Below are 22,049 nucleotides of genomic sequence, written 5' to 3' on the forward strand. Positions count from 1 at the left end.
ACACCAAGCACAGTGGCTCATGCCTGTAATCCCAGCACTTTGGGAGGCCACGGCTCACTTGAGGTCAGAAGTTCAAGACCAGCCTGGCCAACATGGTGAAAACTCATCTCTACTAAAAATACAAAATTAGCCAGACGTGGTGGTGCATGCCTGTGATGTCAGCTACTCCACAGGCGGAGACAGGAGAATCACTTGAGCCGGGAAGGCAGAGGTTGCAGTGAGCCCAGATTACGCCATTGCACTCCAGTCTGGGTGACAGAGCAAGACTCTGTCTCAAAAAAAAAAAAAAAAAAAAAAGAAGAAGAAGAATGTATTGAATCAGCAGATACTCAGACACAAGTGTATGTTTTCAACTTTATCAATATCAATATATCAATATCAACACCATGTTGACATGGAACACTAAAGACCCAACAGGGAGGCAATTAACAAGCATTTGAGGAGGAATAGACCTCACCTATTCCAACCACACGGCCAACTCTGGCAGCCAAAACGTGGGCAACAGCATCCTACCAGCTTCTATTTATTGTTGCATTGCTATGGTGCTGATCCCCTTTGTATCCATGGTATTTAGAACCTCGGGGATTGGGCTGGTGACCATTCTTTAGATCTGAGAACAGAAGGAGCAGAGGAACGTTGAGCAACTCTAGAGGGGTGTGTATGTGGCAGTTTAGGGACAGTTTGAGCTTTCAGGTAGAGGCAGCCTAGGGAAACTGGCATAAAGCAGTTTCTTTCTCTATTCCATGGAAGTTGCATGCTTGTGAAAAGGGCCAGCTATCTTCTGTCTTGCCATACAAGTGGGCAGAGCTGCCTGGGAATACCAGGTGGGTTAAGGATACTGCCCTTAACCTTAAGGTGGAGGGCAGCAGAGGGGGAGAGAGAGACAGAGAGAGAGAGAGATTGGGGAGGAGGGGAGAGAGAGAGGGATGGGAAGGGGAGGAGAAGAGAGAAGGGGAGTGGAGGGGAGGGGAGGGTATGGGAGTGGAGAGGAGGGGAAGGGAGGGGAGAGGAGGGGAGAGGAGGGGAAGGGAGGGGAGAGGAGGGGAGAGGAGGGGAGAGGAGGGGAGGAGATCTGCAAGAAAGAGGCAAGGTCCAGAAAAAGAGAGAGAGATCTGCAAGGAGGCAAGGTTCCAAAATCTATGGGCTGGGACAGCAAAGATGTGGCCTACGAAGAGAAAGGTCTGGAGAATCAGAAGGCCTTCAAATGGTGGTTCCAAATCCCTCCAGCAAAGCCCATCCATCTTTAGAGCTCACCCGTCTCCAGCTACACCCCCCACCCCTCCCGGCCCAGATCAGGCAGCGGGGTCGCCCTCTCCAGGACTCTCAAGGCAGCTAAGGCTGGAGGCGCCGGCGAGCCTGGAGAGGGAGGAGTTCACTAAATTGTGTTGGATGGAAGGCGTCGAGGACCGGAGGAATTAATCCGATGTGGGGAAGGCGGACGGGGCTACGAGGAAAAAAGAGGGGGCAATGTACACTCAGCCTTTTCATCACTCGGCGGGGAGATGGATGGTTTTCCGGACCGGGCGTCCCAGCGCCCCGGTTAGCTATAGGGAGACGTCAGAGCGCTCTGGTCCGCGATAGAAGAGCCCCCCAGCCCCCCCGCCCGGGCTTCCATATAAAGTAGGGGCCCTAGTGGAGGCCGCAGCAGTAGCACCAGCGGCTGCGGCGGCGGAGCTCCTCCGAGGTCCGGGTCACCAGTCTCTGCTCTTCCCAGCCTCTCCGGCGCGCTCCAAGGGCTTCCCGTCGGGACCATGCGCGGCCGTGAGCTCCCGCTGGTCCTGCTGGCGCTGGTCCTCTGCCTGGCGCCCCGGGGGCGAGCGGTCCCGCTGCCTGCGGGCGGAGGGACCGTGCTGACCAAGATGTACCCGCGCGGCAACCACTGGGCGGTGGGTGAGTGTCCTGGCCGCGGGAGCCGCGCGCTTGTCCTCCTCTGGATCAGCCAGCCGGAGGGGACCTGTCTCCCCATTTCTTTGCGTTTCCCTGGCCCAGCTTTGGGAGCTGGGTTTGTTGTGACCTTTCTATCGGCAAACACCTTCCCCGTTCTCCTAAAACTCCACCCCACCTTTCCCCATTCTAGGGAGCCCATGAGTCCCTAGTCAGCCGCAGGCTGGTCCGCTGATCCTTTCCCGCTCGCTTCCAGCCTGTCTTCCCCAGGGCACCCGAGCTCCCAACAGCCAACCCCGGTGCAGATCACCTTCCCTCTGCGCCCATCCTACATCTCCTTTTGTCCGCCTAGTCTCAACCTGTCTGGCACGGTACTCTCCTAGAATAATCTTGGGGAGCGTTGTCCCTTGAAAGCATCTCAGAACCCTGGTCCAGCTCGGTGGCCTCAACAGCGACTGGCATGGGCTGAAATCTAAGCTGCGCCTATGCTCCCCGCAAAGCCACAGGTGTGGGGACCTAGGGTGCAGCGCTCCCGCCCCGGGTTTCACATCTGTTCAGTGCGCAGTGCCCTGAATCCCGCCTGTCTGTGACTCTCTGGAGTTTCCTCAGTCCTTCTCTTCGCTTTGCAGCGATATTCTTTTCCCTGCCCTTTTGCCCTCCCTCTTTCCAGCCAGCAGGCTCTGAGCTTGGGGAATCTCGCCTGCTCTCCAAGCTCATCCCGATCTCTCTGCCCCTCTGAGCTCCGCTCTTTCTCCGCCCTTCTTGACCCACGACTTCGCCCTTTCCCCTCGCTCCTTTCCCATTCCCTCTGCAACAGGTCCTGCTCTCTAGGCACCGGCTTGGAGGCTCCCTCGCCATGGCCCCTAGAACCCAGGCGGAGAGGACGGCCGCGCTGCGGGTGCGGAGGGCGCCTGCGGGTGGGGTCAGGATTCCGCCCTGCGCGCACTCGCTGCTTTCGCTCAGCTGGGAGGCAGGAAGCGCCTGGCAGCCTCGGCTCACCCAGCATCACCCCAGGGCTCTCGGCGTCGCCGAGCATAGCTTCCAGCAAACGCAGAGCGTCCAACTTCCTCACTCCCCCACCTACCCGCCCCACAAAAGCCAACTACAACAACCCCAACCAGCTTCTTGGGAAGCTGGTTAATCCCTGAAGAGATTTAAGAGTGTGTATGTGTGTGTGTCTCTGTGTGTGTGTGTCTCTGTGTGTGTGTGTGTGTGTGTATTTCCTTAGCCATCTACTTAGAACGGGCGCTGGGGAACGGTGTGTTGAACAAGTACTTGCTAATTCATATATCGGCTGATTCACAAATCTTGATAGAAGATAAATAATTTGGGGGAAGGAGTGGGACTGGAACTGTTGCTTCCTCAGCTCGTCTGTGTCGTGTGTGCTTTTGTGAGGGAAGTCGAGATCTTTGGGCTGCAATAGAGTGGTTTCCACTGTTGCTAAAATAATCATTTGCCAAGTCTTGACAGTTCCAGAGATGAGAGGATGTGTGATCGCTGAGGGACAGGAGGAACCCAGCAGTCTGGTGTGGAGAGGAGAGGTTGGAATGGGTGAAGCTGAAAAACCCTCCATTTCAAGAATGAAGGATGCTTAGCAGGTGTTGAAGAATCCAAACTTAGAATTGATGCTTCTTAAAGAGGGCTTCTGGGAGCTTAGATCAAGTGGCCATTATCTGGCCCAGCCACCAGCCAATGGGGCTGGAAAGATGGAATGAAAGTTCTGGATTCCCAATCTCTTTGTACTCATCTATATTATTGCACTAATAAAGCTTATTATTAGGTAACGCTTGCAGGCCCAAAGGAGGACAATAGAGTTAACTGGGGAGTGGCATCGTGTTATTTCTGGTGCAAGTCAAGCCAATCTTGATTTGCTGTAGTTCCGCAGAACATCTGTCTCCAGGTATTTAGGGTGTCTGCCGTTTAATTGCCCTTCATAGTGGTACTTGAGCATTCCTAACCCAAAAGAATACCAACCAGTGGTGACCCCAAATACCATTTTCATATTTATTCTCAAATGCACTTTTTTCTCTCCCTTTGATAACTGTGCAGAGTTGAGGAGGAGCAAGGGAAAGAGGGAGGTGAAGTAGAAACTCACATTTTAGCCTAAAATTACCTTGCGGTTGAGAAAACGTTTGCTTTGAGTAACATGCCCTCTGTTGGAATATGAGCATTGACAAGGATGAATGATGTTACACTTCAAATTTAGCTTTCAGTTATCTCAAGAAAATGCTTATCCTCTTCAATCACCAAAGACATGTAGTTTAGTTTTAATTATATAAAACCAAAGCTACATGCTGCTGTCCATGAGGATGCTGTCAGCACACATTTACAGGCTTGGTAAGTAAATTGCTTCTTCTAGCTGAGAGAAGCATGGTGCAGCAATGGAAAAAAGGTTAACAGCTTGAAAACTTAACAAATTTTTATCTGGCTTGATGTTCGTGGAAATGTTTTGTTTGTGTGATGAAAATATATGACAACACTTATACTGGCTACTATTCCCTGTGCACCCATGAAATGCTCCTAACTGTGGTTCTAACTTGGACGTGAGACATATCCCAGAAGGTTGAATTTGGAAATACCAGTATTCCACTGCAGAATGGCTTGTTATGGCCCCAGAAACTGTGGAATAGAATTTAAGTGTGGGTCCAAAAATACTACTTCTTAGTAGTACTCAACACTTTCATCTATGTCTTATTCATTTCTGTTTCAAACCTTCCCTTTAGTAGTATCTTTAAATGATTAATAAAAAGAACAAAAGCTCTTTTTTTCTCTGATCAAGGTTTTATTTTTTCAAGTGCCTGTCTTTTGTCTATGGTGAGGTTTCCATTATTATGATATGGGCACTTGACAGATGATGTTGGGAGAAGAGGTGGAAGTGGGCGTATCATCCATGTTGCCATGGAGATGACGATTTGGTTGACAGTCACTAGCTCAAAAGCAAAACTGGACCCAGGGAATGTGTACTTCCCTGGGATGTTACAGATAGCGTGCTCTCCTTAGCAACCAGTCTATGGAACTAGAGATAAAGAACTGATCCCCACACATTCCCCATATATGCAAGTACTGAAAGTTAGTACAATCACAGAATGGAGAATAACTTTCTCCTCCCATTTTAGAAAAGTCCACAAAATTATTCAGGCATGACAAAAATGAGGTTCTTATGTGTGATATCTGCATCACTTCTCTGTTTTACTGGCAATAACTCTTTCTCATTTCCAGCATTCTAACTAGATGATAGTCAGTTAGAAGGGCAAGGTGATCTAGGTCATCACTGGGAGTATCAGGATTCTAATCCTGCCTTCCAACCATCATGATTTAATTTCCTCCATATAAATAAAGTCAAATGCATCACTACTTCCTGGGAAGTTGCACAACATAATCACCGTTATGGCTGAATGCAAGGTTATTGAGTGGCTATCTGAGCACCATGTGACCAAGCTGATACGTGAGGAGCCAGTCATTCAGGATTCCAGGTCTTCACTTGGGACAGTATCCCCAGTTAGGATCCTGAAATTGTGTGAAGTCTCATGTCATAAGCAATTTGGCAAATGCTCACACTGCAATGCAGTAAACCTGATTTTAATGCTCCTTAATACTCATAGAATTAATTTTTCTCAATTACATAATGCATCATGATATATTGGCATATAATCCCTATTTTTATAACATTAGAAAGCCTTTTGTAGACCTTATCCTTATTTCCAGATCCCAGAATGATTTTAGCTACCTTATATTCTTAGCAAGTTAGAAGACATTGCCAAGCAGTGTAATAATGTAGTCTAGATTGTGAACTGATTTTAATCCTAAAATAGTTGCTTACATCTATGTGACCTCTGGCAAGTCTCATTTTCACCAAACCAATTAGCATATGGATCAAATGAAATCCAGCACATTTAAACATCCCATAAACTGCAAATCGCAATACACATAAAAGCAATAAAGTTAAAGTGAGGGCTTCTCTGTTGGTGGATAGAACTTCTGGGAAGGGGCCTCTTTCCATTTTAAGACTGAAGATCTTTCAAATTTTATGTTTGCCTTAAATACTTCTAATGCCAGTCAGTGTTGGAACCACAAAGACCTTTTTCCTTGCACACTTTAGATCAAAAGCACCATAGTTTTGTTGACGTTAGAAATTTCAAAGTGCTACAAAGTCCAACTACAGAGAGAGGAAAAATCAACTGTAAGAAATAGAGAACATGAGAATATTCAAGCAAGGGTCTAAAGTGTTAAGAATGCAGACCTTGAATTCTGTACCCACTTCTGACTCCAAGTTATCCTCTCTTGCATACATAAATTTTCATGTTTTTGATGGTTTGGCCTCCTTAACAGCAGCTTTTTAAAAAAATTATTTACAAGGCTAGTACACATTCCTGGAGCCACTGATAGACTTTCAGACACCCAAGAGAAAATTCTGCATTTATGCGGCTGTAAAGTGTTACTCAGGGCTTGTTTTCAACTTGTTTTTCACTACACTCTTAACAAACAGTAAATCTGGGTAGTTTTCTCAGTTCAGTCTCAACTAAAACTCTGAGAAAGTTTAAATGAAAAATTCCTTTGGTATTTTTTTTATTACGATAAAAGGAAAGAAATATTTTTAAAAAACCACACAAAGAAAAGCATGGAGACTTTTATTTTCAGCAGCAATTCAAAATTGGCTGGGGAAGATGTTTAAACTCCATCTTTCAGCTGGAAATAGAATTTGGTGCACACAGAATTGATGATAGAATTTTAGATATGGAAGCCTCCTTAGATTTAATCTAGTCTACCCTGTTCATTTTATAGTTGAGAAAATTGAAGACTAGGGGTGCTAAACGACTTGGCAGAGGTGACCTAACTAGTTAGGAGAGGTGCTGGAACCAAACCCAGGGTTCCTGGGTTGCAGTTCTGAATGCTGTCTAGCTCATTGCACATTTTGAACAGAGAGCAAAATCTATCTGTCGTTTATGAACTAACTCTTAATAAAACATGATTTATTCTGCATTTAGGAGGAAGCAGCACAAACACAATTAGCTTTAAATTTCTTTTAAATTTCTCATTCATTCCCTTTGGTTAAATTTGTGGCATTCTGAGTGTTTTTGTTTTTGTTTTTACAGGGCACTTAATGGGGAAAAAGAGCACAGGGGAGTCTTCTTCTGTTTCTGAGAGAGGGAGCCTGAAGCAGCAGCTGAGAGAGTACATCAGGTGGGAAGAAGCTGCAAGGAATTTGCTGGGTCTCATAGAAGCAAAGGAGAACAGAAACCACCAGCCACCTCAACCCAAGGCCCTGGGCAATCAGCAGCCTTCGTGGGATTCAGAGGATAGCAGCAACTTCAAAGATGTAGGTTCAAAAGGCAAAGGTAAAAGAAACATACATGCAAGATGGGGTGGGAGGTATCTGGGGAGAGGTGGAAAGAGGGCAAGTTCAAAGGAGGAAGAATAGAATTGCTTATGATATAAACCTTCACAGTCACTACATTAGGCTAACACATGCTAAGCACATTGACAGACAATTTCTACATTCTCTTCTTTTTGACATATAGTCAAAAGGATATTGATTCCAAACTCCAATTTAGGAGTTTTTTTCAGCAATTTTGTCTATTTGCCATTACGCATTGATGGGATTTTTTTTTTAACACACAGGCCCTACAAGAATGTTTTGATAGTGAGTCTGCAAACTATTTGAGTAAATCCTTGTGGATCTACAGATTTTATTTTATTTCTGGTGAACACTAGTGGAAGTTCCTGTTTTTAGAAGACAGCATTCTTGTTTGCTACCTTTGACACAAAGTAGCACTTCTTCATATTTGTTCCAGGAGTACCTAGTTCAGGTTTCATCCTAATATTTTAAAACTCAGTGAACATGTCTGAGATCAACAAATCCATCCTGTATATGATTTTATAGAGGATAGGGGAAAATAATTATACTAAACTGGCAATGCTTAAAGACAGTGAGCAAGATAAGAGAGAATAAAATTTACAGGAAGAAAGCAAGGCAACTGAAAATGAGGTGATTATCACTAACTTTTAAGTTTCCATGAAATGTATAATAAAATACAAAATAATAATTACAATAACAACGGTGGCTAGTTTTACTGAATATTTACGATAATCCAAGTATTGGGCTAAGCAGTTTACCTCCATTTTCTCGGCTTATGCTCACAGAAGTCTTAGACGGAAGATTCTATTATTCTCTCCATTTTAGAGGTAAGGAAACTAGTCCCATAGCTTTTCACTGATAAAATCAGGGTAAGGGCCTGTGTTCAGTCGGCCTCAGACAGTCTGTACCATGCCAGACATCTTCCAGAAATGGTCCTCATTGATCTTAATATAAAGGATCCAGGCTGAAGGCCTTGCTACTTGCTGCTTCTGACAATAAATAATATTGCTTTCCACTCACAGTACTGGAGAGCTTCCTTCTTCACTCTTTCATGGTGAAGACTGATGGCCCCTTTAGGGGCTCAGAGCTGCCTTTGCCAAGCCTCGGCTGGCTTTCTGGAGGGAAGCTTTCTATTTCACTGCCCTTTGGGTCTATTCTGGTCTTTCTCTTTCTTTTTTTTTCTTTTTTCTTTCTTCCTTCCTTTCTTACAAGTTCTGGCTATGTGGTTTCTTTTCTTCCTTTCTTTCTTTCTTTCTTTCTTTCTTTCTTTCTTTCTTTCTTTCTTTCTTTCTTTCTTTCTTCCTTTCTTTCTTTTCTTTCCTTTCTCTCTTGCTCTCTCTCTCTCTTTTTTTTTTTGACAAGGACTGGCTATGTTGCCCATGCTTGTCTCAAACTCCTGGGCTCAAGTGATTTCCCTCAGCCTTGGCCTCCCAAATGTGGGTTTCTATGCTAAATGGAAACTGAAGTTCACTTGTTGCACTAAGCACCTAGAGGGAAAGTCTTTGTAGCTTTTATTCAGAAAAAAAACAAAAACCAAAAACAATCCTAGATTAAATAAACCAATACAGAAATAAATACCAACTTTGTACAAAACCCCAAGCGATTGTCTGGTCCATACCTGTGTCATAGGTGTTATGTCATCAGCCCCCTTCTTTACTGATTGATCCCATACTCTGAGGGTTCTGTGAACTTGCAGGTGACTTCTCAGATTCTAGCTGCCATGCCTTTTTCATGGTCAGGTGCTTTGCCAGAGTTCCTGTAGGTGGATATCCAACAGCAGTACCCTTCTCATTTGTCTGAACAGTAATAAAAATTGCCACCACAAAACCCTTGAAAATAATTTTTGCAAACATTGAACTGGACTTGCCCTCATAGCTCGTTCATGAAATACTCCCCTCTACTAACACACAATCATGTTACTATTCTATAGTGCCTCATTTTTGAAACAAACAGCAGTGTCCAGTTTGTTATTTTATTTCCTCAACCTGGCTCTGCATATCTTTGGAATCTTTTGGCAAATTCAACTCCTTCCTTAAGGATCAAAAATTTTCCACCACATTCAGAAGAATATTCTGTAAGCTTCAAAGGCAACAGCAAAAAGAATAGCTCCACAAAGGTGTCTGAGTAGCAGTATAATAGGATGGGTTGAGTGGGCAGCTGCCGAGAGTGACTGCTTAAAGGGGGCAGTCCTTATCCCAAGTGAACTGAAAAAGGTCATCAAAAAGATGATAAAAAAAATCAGGCTTTGCTTTTCTATTATTTTTATGCATTGTTTTTCTTTTTACAGGTTTAGAAAGCCCATCTCATTTAATTCCACCTCCAGTTGAATAATTAGTTATCGCACACATTGGTACTATTCTTTTGGCTATATTTCCTAGTAACACAAAAACAAGTTCCACAGTTAGTGTTTGCAGAGACCAAAATATTTTATTGCTTCTCTTGCACTGGAAATTCCACCTCAATGAAAGTATGCTGTTATGAAAATTGAAAACACCTTACAATGATCTTATTCAAAAAGAAGGGGTGCCAAGAGAGTAGTTCTATTAGAACCCATATATCTCCCATATCTTAGAGTTATGGGAGTGTTAGAGGGAAACTTAATAACTTAGCTAAGCATTGCCAGAATTAGCAGCAGGAGTTTTCAGAGGCTGAAGGACTGTTCTTAAAATTAAAAACTATCTACATATGCTCTCCTCTCTCATTTTAGTAATAAAACATCAAGTACTGTTGCCAACTCTCTTGGAGCTGTGGTTAGAAACTCCAAGCATTTCCTATGTTTTGATGACAAAGATATTTACTTAATTCATAAAGGATGTGTGTAATGTGCACTGAAACTAGATTGCTCGACCATGGAAACAGCTCCAGAACTTTCAGAGCAATTATGCCCAGCAATGTTCAAGGTTAACCTTAATCCTTTTAACTGTGCCCTTCTCACAAATCTTTTAATTCTATTCTGCAATTAATGGAACTTTTCCCCCATGGTTTCTGCAACATGAAACTCTGTTCTGTTTCTGCAACATGAAACTCATCCCCATGGATGAAGCTCCAGGGCCTCATCCATGATCCTGGATGTGGTTGTTCACTGTCCTGGGTTTCAATGGAGGTTTTAGTTGGCCTTTGGTCTACCTTTATAATTTGGACTTAGTCCCTTATTCTTTGCAGCTTAGGTCTCTCCTTTTATTTAGTGGACATGAAGAGGGCAAGGAAGTGAGCTACAAAGGCTGTTATGGAAAGAAAGTAAATGTGTTCGTTCTTCACTTTTAAGGGACTGCTCTCACTGTCTCATCAAATCAGTACAGAGAATAGGAAGGTCTTTTTTCTGAATATTTGAAATGCTCCAAAGGAAGTGCCAAATATAGAAAAAGCAACATAAAATCAAGAATCACTCATAACCTTCTGATTACCCTGGCACTTTCTATGAAGGAGTAGAGTAAAGTTGGCCCCCACCTGGAATATAGCTCCTCCCTACCCCCAACAATGGACCCTGCCCATTGCCTCCCAGTTCCTTGATCTTCCTAGGTTCCACAACTCTCTTTTTCCTTTTAGTTTTATTCCCTCCAGCCAAACCTCTCTTATTCAATATTTTGAGCCAATGGGGGAGTTATGTAGATTTTTTTCCCTACACATTAGCTGGCCCCTTTTATGACCAATGACTCATAAGGCAAGATGTGTGGTGGCATCTTCGGACAGGCAGCAGGCTTTAATAGGGCAGCCTGGGTTGGTGGAGGCAAGCAAAGCTAATTGGCATGCGTGGGAATCAAACCCCAGGCCCTGGGCTCATTAGCCCATGGTCAAAACAACTGAGCCAGAGGAGGTAATAATTTGCCCAAGAATATCAGTAGTTCCTTTATTAGAAGAAAATGGCTGATATGGAAGTTGGGGAATCTGAATTGCCAGAGAATCTTGGGAAGAGTAATAAGCTCTTAGTCTCAACAAAAAGTGTTTTTTCATCTCAGCGCGTAAAGGGTGCTATATGGGAACAAAGAAGTATTTTAAAATTATAACTACTCATTCTTTCTTTAGCCTTAGTTAATTTGAGCAGAAGCCACAACAAGCAAACCACAATAAATTTAGAATTGGCAGAAATCCACATTAACTCCTCTTCCCAAGTTTCCACACTACTACCATTTACAGTTGTAGGTTTGTAATGTATAATTATGTAATGCAGAAACTAGCTTTGACTTGTGTAACGATGCACTGTCAAAGTAAGCAAAGTAAGAATTGAAATTCCACATTCCCAGAATTTAACACTCAGCTGCTCCTCTAGTAATAAGTTCCTGGGGATAATACATTAACCAACATTGGTTGAAACATACCTGAGTAATCATATCAGGATGCATGTTAAGCTGATAAAACAATAAGATCCCAAAATGCAGTAGCTCAAAAAAAAGTAGAAGTTAATTTATCTCCTGGGGGACAGCTCTGGTTCTCAAATTTTACAGGCTCAGAATCACCTGCAGGGCTTGTGAAAGTACAGATTGCTGCGCTCCGCCCCCAGAGTTTCTGATTTAGTAGGTGTTAGGCTGAACCAAGAATTTGCCTTTCTAACAAGCTCCCAAGTGATGCTGATGACTTGTAGGAATGGATTTACTTCTAGGATTAGACTTCAGCTCACTCTGTTTGCTGAACTCTTTCTAATATTTCTTAAGTTGGTAGACTCTCTGCTCCAGGTTCTCAACGTGAAGGAAGGAACCCCCAGCTGAACCAGCAATGATAATGATGGCCTCTCTCAAAAGAGAAAAACAAAACCCCTAAGAGACTGCGTTCTGCAAGCATCAGTTCTACGGATCATCAACAAGATTTCCTTGTGCAAAATATTTGACTATTCTGTATCTTTCATCCTTGACTAAATTCGTGATTTTCAAGCAGCATCTTCTGGTTTAAACTTGTTTGCTGTGAACAATTGTCGAAAAGAGTCTTCCAATTAATGCTTTTTTATATCTAGGCTACCTGTTGGTTAGATTCAAGGCCCCGAGCTGTTACCATTCACAATAAAAGCTTAAACACATTGTCCAAAGGGCAGGCTGTTCTCTTATTTCAATCCCAAATGAGAGGATAGTGTGGCAGAGATGAACAAACAGCTTGAGGACGTACTCGTGTGCTCACTGATCAAGTCAGGCTGAAGCTCTCCCCTCTGAATCCTTGTAGTGACTTAGAGCCTTTCCAGAGGCTCCCTCACTTTCTCATTCCCATCAGGTGAGCCAGGTTGAAGATGGAGGCTAGCCCTATTCATCACTTAAGAATTCCCTAATCTTCAGCCCCTACCATGACCAGGTATTTTGCTGATATTACTGAGGGACGCCTCCTAATAGTCCTTTAAGCTGAGAATTATCATTTCCATTTAACAGATGAGGAAACAGAGGATTAAAGAGATCAAGTGCCTTGCCCAAGTCACATAGTAAATGGAACTGGGATCTAGACATCCACAGTCACCAGATTTCCTGCATTACTCATTTTAAACGTCCCTTTCAGTATATTTATGCCTAGCAAGTAGCACTGTTTTTTCAAAATTTCATCGCCAGTCTGGGAGGAGTCGTCCCCAGTGCCAGATTTAGTTAGTTCCACAGCTAAAGAATAAGATGAATTCAGTTCCTTCCATTTTCAGAGAATGTGGCCTGGCAGTTCGTTAACACTCACTAGTTCTATTTTTTTTTTTAACCGATTCCTTTTTTATCATGACATTTGCACATTAACAGATTTTGAAGCTTCTTGCCATATGTTTAGAATTTCTTCATTTAGGAAAATCACATTAGCAACCTTAAAGAGATTTGCTTGCTCTTGTTTTGATTACCTAGAACCACATAAGAGATGATGAGTTCTTCCTAATTTCTTTTAAAACCATGTTGATTCACAACATATACACAGCTAGACCTGGGGAAATGTGTGAACTGTGTTTTCAGTGTTACCACGTTCCTCTACAGGGCCCCTGTTCTCTATCATGAGACTATCTTCAGCCTCTTTCCCAAGGACTTGATCCTGACCTATGTCAACTAAAGCCCCCATGCCGCTGATGATGAAGGTGTAAGCCCTCTCAAGGATTTGCCTTCCAATAGGACACTCATAGAGAAAAAAAAAAACACCAAAAAAAACACCCCCCAAAAACAAACCAAAAAACCAAAAAACAAACAAACAACACCTTCCAGACCCAGGGGAAGCTTTCTCTAATGGTGGGATTTCAGGCAAAAAGAAAAGGTTTCCTGGACATAGGCCAGTGCTCCTAGAATAACCCCATCCAGACTATCACTTGTTTGGCTGTTTCACAAGAGTAAACCTACATGATCCCATGTTTTGGCAGCCATCACTTTTTTCCATGAGTTCTGATTGCGATGTAAGAACAGCTCTCTCAAATCTCCTCTCCCTTGCAGTGCTCCTCTGTGCCAAACCCGGTCAAGGTTAGAATCTTTTTGAGAGGTATACTCTTCCCTGCAAAATTAAAAAAGAAATTATTTGCAAGGGGAGTTATATCACACCACACATGTGTGTGCCTATTGGGTCAGGTAATTTTTAGCTAAAGATAATAGCATCCACCTTGGGTAGTTTAAGTAGAAAAGGAGAAAACCGATGGGTAGATATTAGTCAGGGAAGACCAGAGAACCGGGCTCAAGCCTAAACTTGCAGGCTCAATGCCCAAAGCCATGTCTCTAATTGTATTGATGAGGTGGCTACCCCTAGAAGCATGCTGCAGAACTGCCTGAGTCTGCGCTCTCTTCCTCTGCCTCTGCTACCACCTGTGCCTGCAGTAGGATTTCCCCCGCCCCGCCCTCCCCAGAGACTCCCAAATCAGTCTTGAATGAGTGTCTGATTGGTGGAACCTACATTATATTCCTGTACCTAGCTGCAAGGGCTGCTGGGAAATGGAGTTTTTAGGATTCTACTTTGGGCTCTTGGGACTAAAATAATGGGACCCTATCAAAATGGAGAGAGGGTGTTCAGAGATGTGGTTGACTACAAACAATATATGCCCCTTCCCTTTTTCCCCAAAAAGAATTTTCCCTTTGATTCCTGCCCATTCCTACTCTAAAGAACAGTTAGTCCCTAGCCTGGGACTCAGGGAAAGCAGGAGCCTGGTGGCTGTTCTGCACAGCACACAGTCCAGGTGTGTCCATAGTACAGCAAGATGAAAAGATTGCTTCTAAGAGCAGATACCTTAGAAATCCTGGCAGCAAAGCAGGATAATCAGAAGGAAGAATCCAAAAGGGAAGAAAGCAGTAATGGCCTTTGAATTTCTCCTTTGAAAAGCAGTCTTTTTTTTTAATTTTTAATTTTTATTTTTTAGTGCCACAGGTTGGATTGCTCTGGGCGATTTGGCAGTTTTTGCATGTCATTAGAGGTTCAGTAACACACCAAGCAGGCATTTCCGGCAGAGCAGTACAATTTCTAGCCTCAAAATGCTCGCCTTTTACTCCCTACTTGGGGAATATTTTATCATTACCGAGCATCTTAACCCAGCTTGGTTGTGTGGGGAGTAATCTAAGTAGAATGTAGAGATTGCATTATTCACTTCCTTAGCCACTGGCTGTTTTATTCAGACAACATGAAATAACTCTTCAAGGGAGACCTGTAATTATGAACCATTGTCATCCTCACAGCAAAGAAACGATGTTCACCATGTGCATGGAAAAGGCTCCTAGCTCCACCTCCAAGGGCTTCGTTTCTTTTAATTAATCACCTTAAATCAGACCCAGATGTGATACAGAATCCTCTCCCTACCTTTCTTTCCACTCTACTTAGTTCAAAAATGTTATATAACATATATAACATATATATAACATGTTATATATAACATATATAAAACATGTTATATATAACATATATAACATGTTATATAACATATAATATATACAACATATATAATATATTATATATCATATTATATATAATATATTATGTAACATATTATATATAATATATTATATAACATATGATATATAATATTATATAACATGATATATAATATGTTATATAATATATCATATGTTATATAATATGTTATATGTTATATAATATGTTATATAATATGTTATATAATATATCATATGTTATATAATATATGATATAGTATATAATATGTTATATACTATATCATATATTATATAATATATGATATATTATATAATATATCATATAGTATATAATATATATCATATGTTATATGATATATATTATATATTATATATCATATGTTATATATCATATGTCATATGATATATAATATATTATATATTATATAATGTATAATATATTATATAATATATAATATATAATATAGTATATATATTATATATATAGTATATTATATATATAGTATATATATTATATATACTATATAGTATTTATATATATATTATATATACTATATAGTATATTATATATATACTATATATACCATGGTATATATAATATAACATATTATACATACCATGGTATATATAATATAACATATTATACATACCATGGTATATATAATATAACATATTATACATACCATGGTATATATAATATAACATATTATACATACCATGGTATATATATAATATAACATATTATACATACCATGGTATATATATAATATAACATATTATACATACCATGGTATATATATAATATAACATATTATACATACCATGGTATATATATAATATAACATATTATACATACCATGGTATATATATAATATAACATATTATACATACCATGGTATATATATAATATAACATATTATACATACCATGGTATATATATAATATAACATATTATACATACCATGGTATATATATAATATAACATATTATACATACCATGGTATATATATTATATAACATATTATATATACCATGGTATATATATTATATAACATATTATATATACCATGGTATATATATTATATAACATATTATATATACCATGGTATATATATTATATAACATATTATATATACCATGGTATATATATTATATAACATATTATATATAATAGATTATATATACTATAGTATATATATTATATAACATAGTATATATAATAGATTATATATATTATATAACATATATATGTTGTATTGTATAACATATATATGATGGACAGACAAGGTAGATCATGATATGGGTGGATTGAGAGGAGCACCTGATTAATGCCAAGGATATATTATACTCCAAAGGAAACTCCAATAGCCTCAAGGAAGAAAATGTATTTTTCATCCTTCCACTCTCTGACACTAATTATATACTACTCTTTCCAAGAGTGTTGCTCAGATTCTTTACCCCTTGTTTAAATAAATATTTAAACATTAAAAATATACTTTGGTGGCCGAGCACAGTAGCTCACACCTGTAATCCCAACACTTTGGGAGGCCGAGGTGTGCAGATCACCTGAGTCCAGGAGTTTGAGACCAGCCTGGCCAACATGGCAAAATCCTGTCTCTACTAAAAATATAAAAATTAGCCAGGCATGGTGGTGCATGCCTGTAATCCCAGCTACTCGGGAGGCTGAGGCATGAGAATCGCTTGAACCTGGGAGGCAGAGGTTGCAGTGAGCCAAGATCACACCACTCCACTCCAGCCTGGGTAACAGAGTGAGACTGTGTCAAAAAAAAAATATATATATATATATACACACACACACACACACACACACACACACACTTTGGGCATGAAGAAAACATGATAATCATATTTTTAAAAATCCTCTTTTGCCTCCTAATTTAACTCTAAGAGTTTTTAATGTATATTTTTAAATGTAAAAATCCAATCTGTTAATTATTTTTGTTTAATATTCCAAATAAGAGATTTCTCCTATTGATTTATACTGATAATTGACAATCCAGCACCCTCTCCTTTAGAAACATTTGGTACTTTGGCTGTCAGTTGTATCTGTATTAATTAGAAGTAGTTTTTGGATACATGTGACAAAACCAAATCAAACCACATATCCATGGCTTAAAGAAGACAGAAGTTTAATTTTCTCTCACATCACAAGAAGTCTAGAGGCTAGAGGTGCAGGCCAGTGCAGTAATCCGAGGATTCAGAGCCAAGATCTTTGTGATTCTCTTTAATTTCCCTTCATGATTAGCTATAAAATGGTGGCTGCAGCTCCAGCCAACGCACTCCAGTTTCATTTAGAAAAGAGAGAGGGAAACAGAAAAGGGTAGGATCTGCATATCATGAAAACAAAACTTTCTGAGAAATCTTCAGCCTTGGTGTTTTGGTCAGAACTGTGACACATGACTATCTCTAGCAGCAAAGAAAGCTGGAAAATATGATTTTTCAGTGAGGACCTTTCTACCACATCACCTCCCTGCTCCCCTGAAAACAAAACAAAACAAAACAAAAACAAAATTTCTCTTAATAAGGAAAAGAAAATGGATGTTTGATAGGCAACCAGAGGTGTTTGCCATGTCAGCTATGACAAGATTGAATCCGAGAAAGAACCAAGTTGGAGCCAGGAGGTCTTAAGCCTGACATGACTAGAAGATGCGTAGACAATAGGCCCCCATGTTTAGTATGAAATTGCCCTGCCCTGTGTCTCGTTCTCAAGACTGAGTGCCAGGAAACCAGGTTTACAAACATGTGGTCTTCAGGACTTCACCTACCCTCCATCTCTGAAAACAAAAGGCTGCAATGAAGATCGTGTTTTATAGATTGGGCGTCACTTTTAATCTCTACATGTATTAGTCAGTTTTCATCCTGCTGATGAAGACATACCCAAGACTGGGTAATTTATAAAGGAAAAGAGGTTTAATGGTCTCACAGTTCCATGTGGCTGGGGAGGCCTCACAATCATGGCAGAAGATGAAAGCCACATCTTACATGGTGGCAGACAAGAGAGAAATGAGAGCCAAGTGAAAAGGGAAACCTCTTATAAAACCATGAGATCTCATGAGACTTATTCACTATCATGAGAACAGCATGGAGGAAACTGCCCCCATAATTCAATTGTCTCCCACTGGGTCCCTCCCACGACACGTGGGGATTATGGGAGCTGCAATTCAAAATGAGATTTTGGTGGGACACAGACAAACCGTATTACTAAACTTAAACCCAAGATATGACAATTTCCAAGTATCTATTTACATGGAAAAAAACCCACTTTGTGCTGTATCACTCCTATCTTTATGCATGCATTTCTGTACAAACACATGAGGGAGGTATATTTGCACTCTTCCATCTACATCATCTCAGAAACAAGGGGTCTTGGTAAATAAACTGGACTAAGGTAAGCAATCTGGACTCTGGCAGAAGGGAACACATGGCACTGTTTTTGTTTTCCCTGTGATTGGATTCACGAAACTAATTAAAAGATGATGATGACTGAATGATTCCACAGGACTCTAGATAGAAAGACCATTTGTGCAGACCTTCAGGAATAAACATTGTAACAATGAGCATACCTGTGGCTGTTAGAAACCCCTCAGCTCAGGCCGGGCGCGGTGGCTCACGCCTGTAATCCCAGCACTTTGGGAGGCCGAGGCGGGCAGATCACGAGGTCAGGAGATCGAGACCATCCTGGCTAACACGGTGAAACCCCATCTCTACTAAAAAAAATAACAAAAAATAGCCAGGCGCGGTGGCGGGCGCCTGTAGTCCCAGCTACTTGGGAGGCTGAGGCAGGAGAATGGCGTGAACCCGGGAGGCGGAGCTTGCAGTGAGCCGAGATCGCGCCACTGCACTCCAGCCTGGGCGACAGAGCAAGACTCCTTCCCCCCGCCCAAAAAAAAAAAAAAAAAAAAAACCCCTCAGCTCAAATTGGCATGAAAGATAAAAGGATTTATTATCTGATATACAAGAACTCCAGGCTGGGTGCAGTGGCTCACTCCTATAATCCTAGGAATTTGAGAGGTCGAGGTGGGTAGATCACTTGAGGTCAGGAGTTTGGGACCAGCTTGGCCAATATGGTGAAACCTAGTCTCTACAAAAAATATAAAAATTAGCTGGGCGTGTTGGTGGGGTGCCTGTAGTCCCAGCTACTCCGGAGGCTGAGGCAGGAGAATCCTTTGAAACCGGGAGGCAGAGGTTGCAGTGAGCCGAGATTGCACCACTACACTCCAGCTGGGGTGACAGAGCAAGACTCTGTCTCAAAAGAAGAAGAAGAAGAGGAAGAAGAAGGAAGAGGAGGAGGAGAAAAAGAAGGAGAAGGAAGATTATTCTGGAGGGAAGGAGGAACTCAGGCTTGTTTAGTTCAAGGTAATTCAGTGACTAAAATATATATTCAGAGGTGGGGTCTTTCCATTTTCCCACTCTGCCAGCAGTGTTTCCAATTTGTCCTTAAGCTGACTTCTCTCACAGTCACAAGATGGCTGCTGGAGCTCCAGGTGTCACATCCAGACCTGACAAAATTCAGAGGAAGAAGAAGGACTATCTCTTTTGAGGCTTCATCTAATTAATAGGGATAAATCCTTTCCCAGAGATCTCTAAATGCCTCACAACTTAGTAACCCCATGGGCTACATGGCTGCGCTAAAGCCAACACTAATGAAGGGAATCGAGGCATCATGATTGGACTCGCCCAATTAGGATTTACCGATGAGTCATGTTGCAGGAGGGGCAAGCCCCTAAACAAAATCAAGACTCTCTCGGTAAGGAAGGAGGGCAGCTTTGATTTGTAATTGACACCCAACAGCATCTGCCACATGTGTGAAGTTCATTTCTTGTGATCTCACACTGCCCTGGTTCTATCAATATAGCAATCTCAAGAATTAGTCACTGCCATTAAGTGGAAATGTTTTAGGTTTTATTTCCTACTCAGAGGCTCATGTAAAGTCCTTTTGAATAGTTTTAAAGCCATGAATCTTTTAAGAGCAAGAAATAGTACATCTCCTTCTCTCAAAGCACTCAGCCTGTGATTACAGTTGACAGGCTGTTCCTCCCATTTGTCTGGGCTTCTCTCATCCTTTACTCCTCTCTTTGCCTTGCAACACAAGTGGCTGTTACTGTAACAACATAATTGCTGCTCTGATTCCACCACTGAAATAAACAGAAATGAAAAGGAAATAGAGAGCTTCAAATTGTGTTCTCCTCCACCTGGCAGTTTCCCAAAATGCCTCAGCTAGAGACAGCCCAAATGGACAGGCTAGGGGTTGAACCTGAATTAAGAAATGAAAATCAAAAAACAGGCCCAGAGCAGATTGTAGAGGAAGCTCCTTTCTTCCCGCTTAACTCCTGGGGATGGAAGGAGAGGAAAAAGGCGAATAATGTGGAAAAAATGTTGAATTTAGTAGAGAGGAATTGGTAGCATGCTGGTCTGATGCTCTTTGTAGATGTGCCATTTGCCTGGACAGTGTCTTGAAAATTAGAATTAGTCACATTTAAACATCCAAGGATTTCATATAAAAATCCAGGTTGCAAGCTTTTGCAAAATCAGAAGATCCGCTACTGGGCCTGCTTTCCCAGAAGACAATCAGTGCTGGTGCTGCCCCTATAAATGGGGGACGCATTTGTGACTTCGCCACACTCCTCACCACACCCTAGTGCACACTTCTGCCTGCTCTGTTTGTTTACAGTACCTGCCTGCTCCCTCTAGGCATTTGAATTTATGATCCCAGTTTACTGTTCTGTATGTCAGGGGGAAGGGGACTGTTCCATGATTTGTTCAATGATATTGTTTAAATTCCTGTTCATGCTTATGATTCTCTACAGTGTGTGCAACTTTTTTTTTCTTTTTGACAGAGTTTTACTCTTGTTGCCCAGGCTGGAGTGCAGTGGCATAATCTCAGCTTACTACAACCTCTGCCTACCAGGTTCAAGTGATTCTCTTGTCTCAGCCTGAGTAGCTGGGATTACAGGTGCCCGCCACCACGTCCAGCTAACTTTTTGTATTTTTAGTAGAAGCAGGGCTGGTCTCTGCTAAAAAATGTTTAGTAGAGCCCATGTTAGCCAGGCTGGTCTCGAACTCCTGACCTCAGGTGATCCACCCACCTCGGCTTCCCAAGTGCTGGGATTACAGGGGTGAGCCACCGCACCCAGATGTGCAACATTGTAGAAAGAGTTTTGCCCATGTAATGTTTGCTCCCCCAGATGATTTTGAAGATTCACTCCTTCCCAGGCTGGTCACTGAGATAAGGATGGAAGCCTGTTAAAAAAGAGGTGAGACTGCTGGGCAATGCAACTCACTCTGAAATGTTACTGGTGAGCAGTTCTTGATAAGCAAGCAGAGCCTGGGTGGAACCTCGTGGAATGTTTGGGAGCAGACCATCTGCTTCTGAGATTCATTGGCCAAGAGTTCTCACTGTATCTTGAAACGAACCAAAAAGCAGTTCTTACATAGAATCATGCTGAGGTCCTGTAATCTGTGTGGCCCAAACCACATGTGATCTCCCTCTGCTCTGTTTCACCTAATTTTGTGGCACTTTTTGTGTTCGTGAGATAACTGAAGGCACAGTTCTCATAAAATGAACAATCATTATTTAGAGATTTTAACTTGGCAAATAGAAGTTTTCACTAGTCTCCTGATAATTAGCTTGAGAGAGAGATTTAACTTGTTTGAAGGCTTCAAGTGATTTCATATGATTTTTTTAAGAGATGGGGTCTCACTATGTTGCCCAGGCTGGAGTACAGTGGCTATTCACAGGCACCCCATCATCGTTCACTAAGCCTCAAACTCCTGACATCAAGCCATCATAGTCCCAAGTACACAGAAGATGAAGGAAGGATGATTTTTGATAGGTGAAATGTTAAAATAAAACGTAAGAAAGAGTTACATGGAGAACCTCTTTGTCAAGTTTGAAAACAGCAATAAATGTCTGTGTCCGGTCTTGGTCCTGGTGGGGTAGTGGGGCGGGGGCTTTCCTCTGTCTCTCCTAACTCTGCTCTCCTTGC

General features: G+C 41.6%; 1 protein-coding gene across 7 annotated transcripts, besides 2 other annotated features; it reads left to right on the forward strand.

Moving 5' to 3' along the window:
* Positions 1-674: 674 nt before the first annotated feature.
* Positions 675-12,257, forward strand: GRP (gastrin releasing peptide). 7 transcript variants are annotated; one of them, XM_011525933.3, is made up of 3 exons: positions 675-824; positions 6,978-7,220; positions 11,890-12,257. In XM_011525933.3, the coding sequence occupies exons 1-3, from the start codon at positions 755-757 to the stop codon at positions 11,952-11,954; spliced, it is 378 nt and encodes a 125-aa protein (XP_011524235.1). In that variant the 5' UTR covers positions 675-754; the 3' UTR covers positions 11,955-12,257. The 7 variants fall into 7 exon arrangements, with proteins under 7 accessions (XP_011524235.1, NP_002082.2, XP_016881201.1 ...); NM_002091.5 differs by lacking the exon at positions 675-824 and adding an exon at positions 1,644-1,890; XM_017025712.2 differs by lacking the exon at positions 675-824 and adding an exon at positions 1,644-1,890 and having other exon boundaries at positions 11,897-12,257.
* Positions 864-1,478: an enhancer, noted in NCBI's record as "H3K4me1 hESC enhancer chr18:56886610-56887224 (GRCh37/hg19 assembly coordinates)". NCBI's record gives its function as "activates a minimal SCP1, AML or CMV promoter by ChIP-STARR-seq in primed H9 embryonic stem cells {active_cell/tissue: H9 hESC(primed)}" and the evidence as "EXISTENCE:reporter gene assay evidence [ECO:0000049][PMID:30033119]".
* Positions 21,350-21,550: a silencer, noted in NCBI's record as "peak3170 fragment used in MPRA reporter construct". NCBI's record gives its function as "represses an SCP1 promoter by STARR-seq MPRAs in K562 erythroleukemia cells {active_cell/tissue: K562}" and the evidence as "EXISTENCE:reporter gene assay evidence [ECO:0000049][PMID:32103011]".

This window comes from Homo sapiens, chromosome 18 (assembly GCF_000001405.40).
Source record: "Homo sapiens chromosome 18, GRCh38.p14 Primary Assembly".
Taxonomy (NCBI): Eukaryota; Metazoa; Chordata; class Mammalia; order Primates; family Hominidae; genus Homo; species Homo sapiens.

Coding starts and splice junctions, on each gene's coding strand:
- GRP (NM_002091.5), top strand. CDS start 1,752: ATGCGCGGCCGTGAGCTCCCGCTGGTCCTGCTGGCGCTGGTCCTCTGC. Junction 1,891..6,977: donor CGGCAACCACTGGGCGGTGG/GTGAGTGTCCTG, acceptor TTGTTTTTACAG/GGCACTTAATGGGGAAAAAG. Junction 7,221..11,889: donor TGTAGGTTCAAAAGGCAAAG/GTAAAAGAAACA, acceptor ATATTTCTTAAG/TTGGTAGACTCTCTGCTCCA.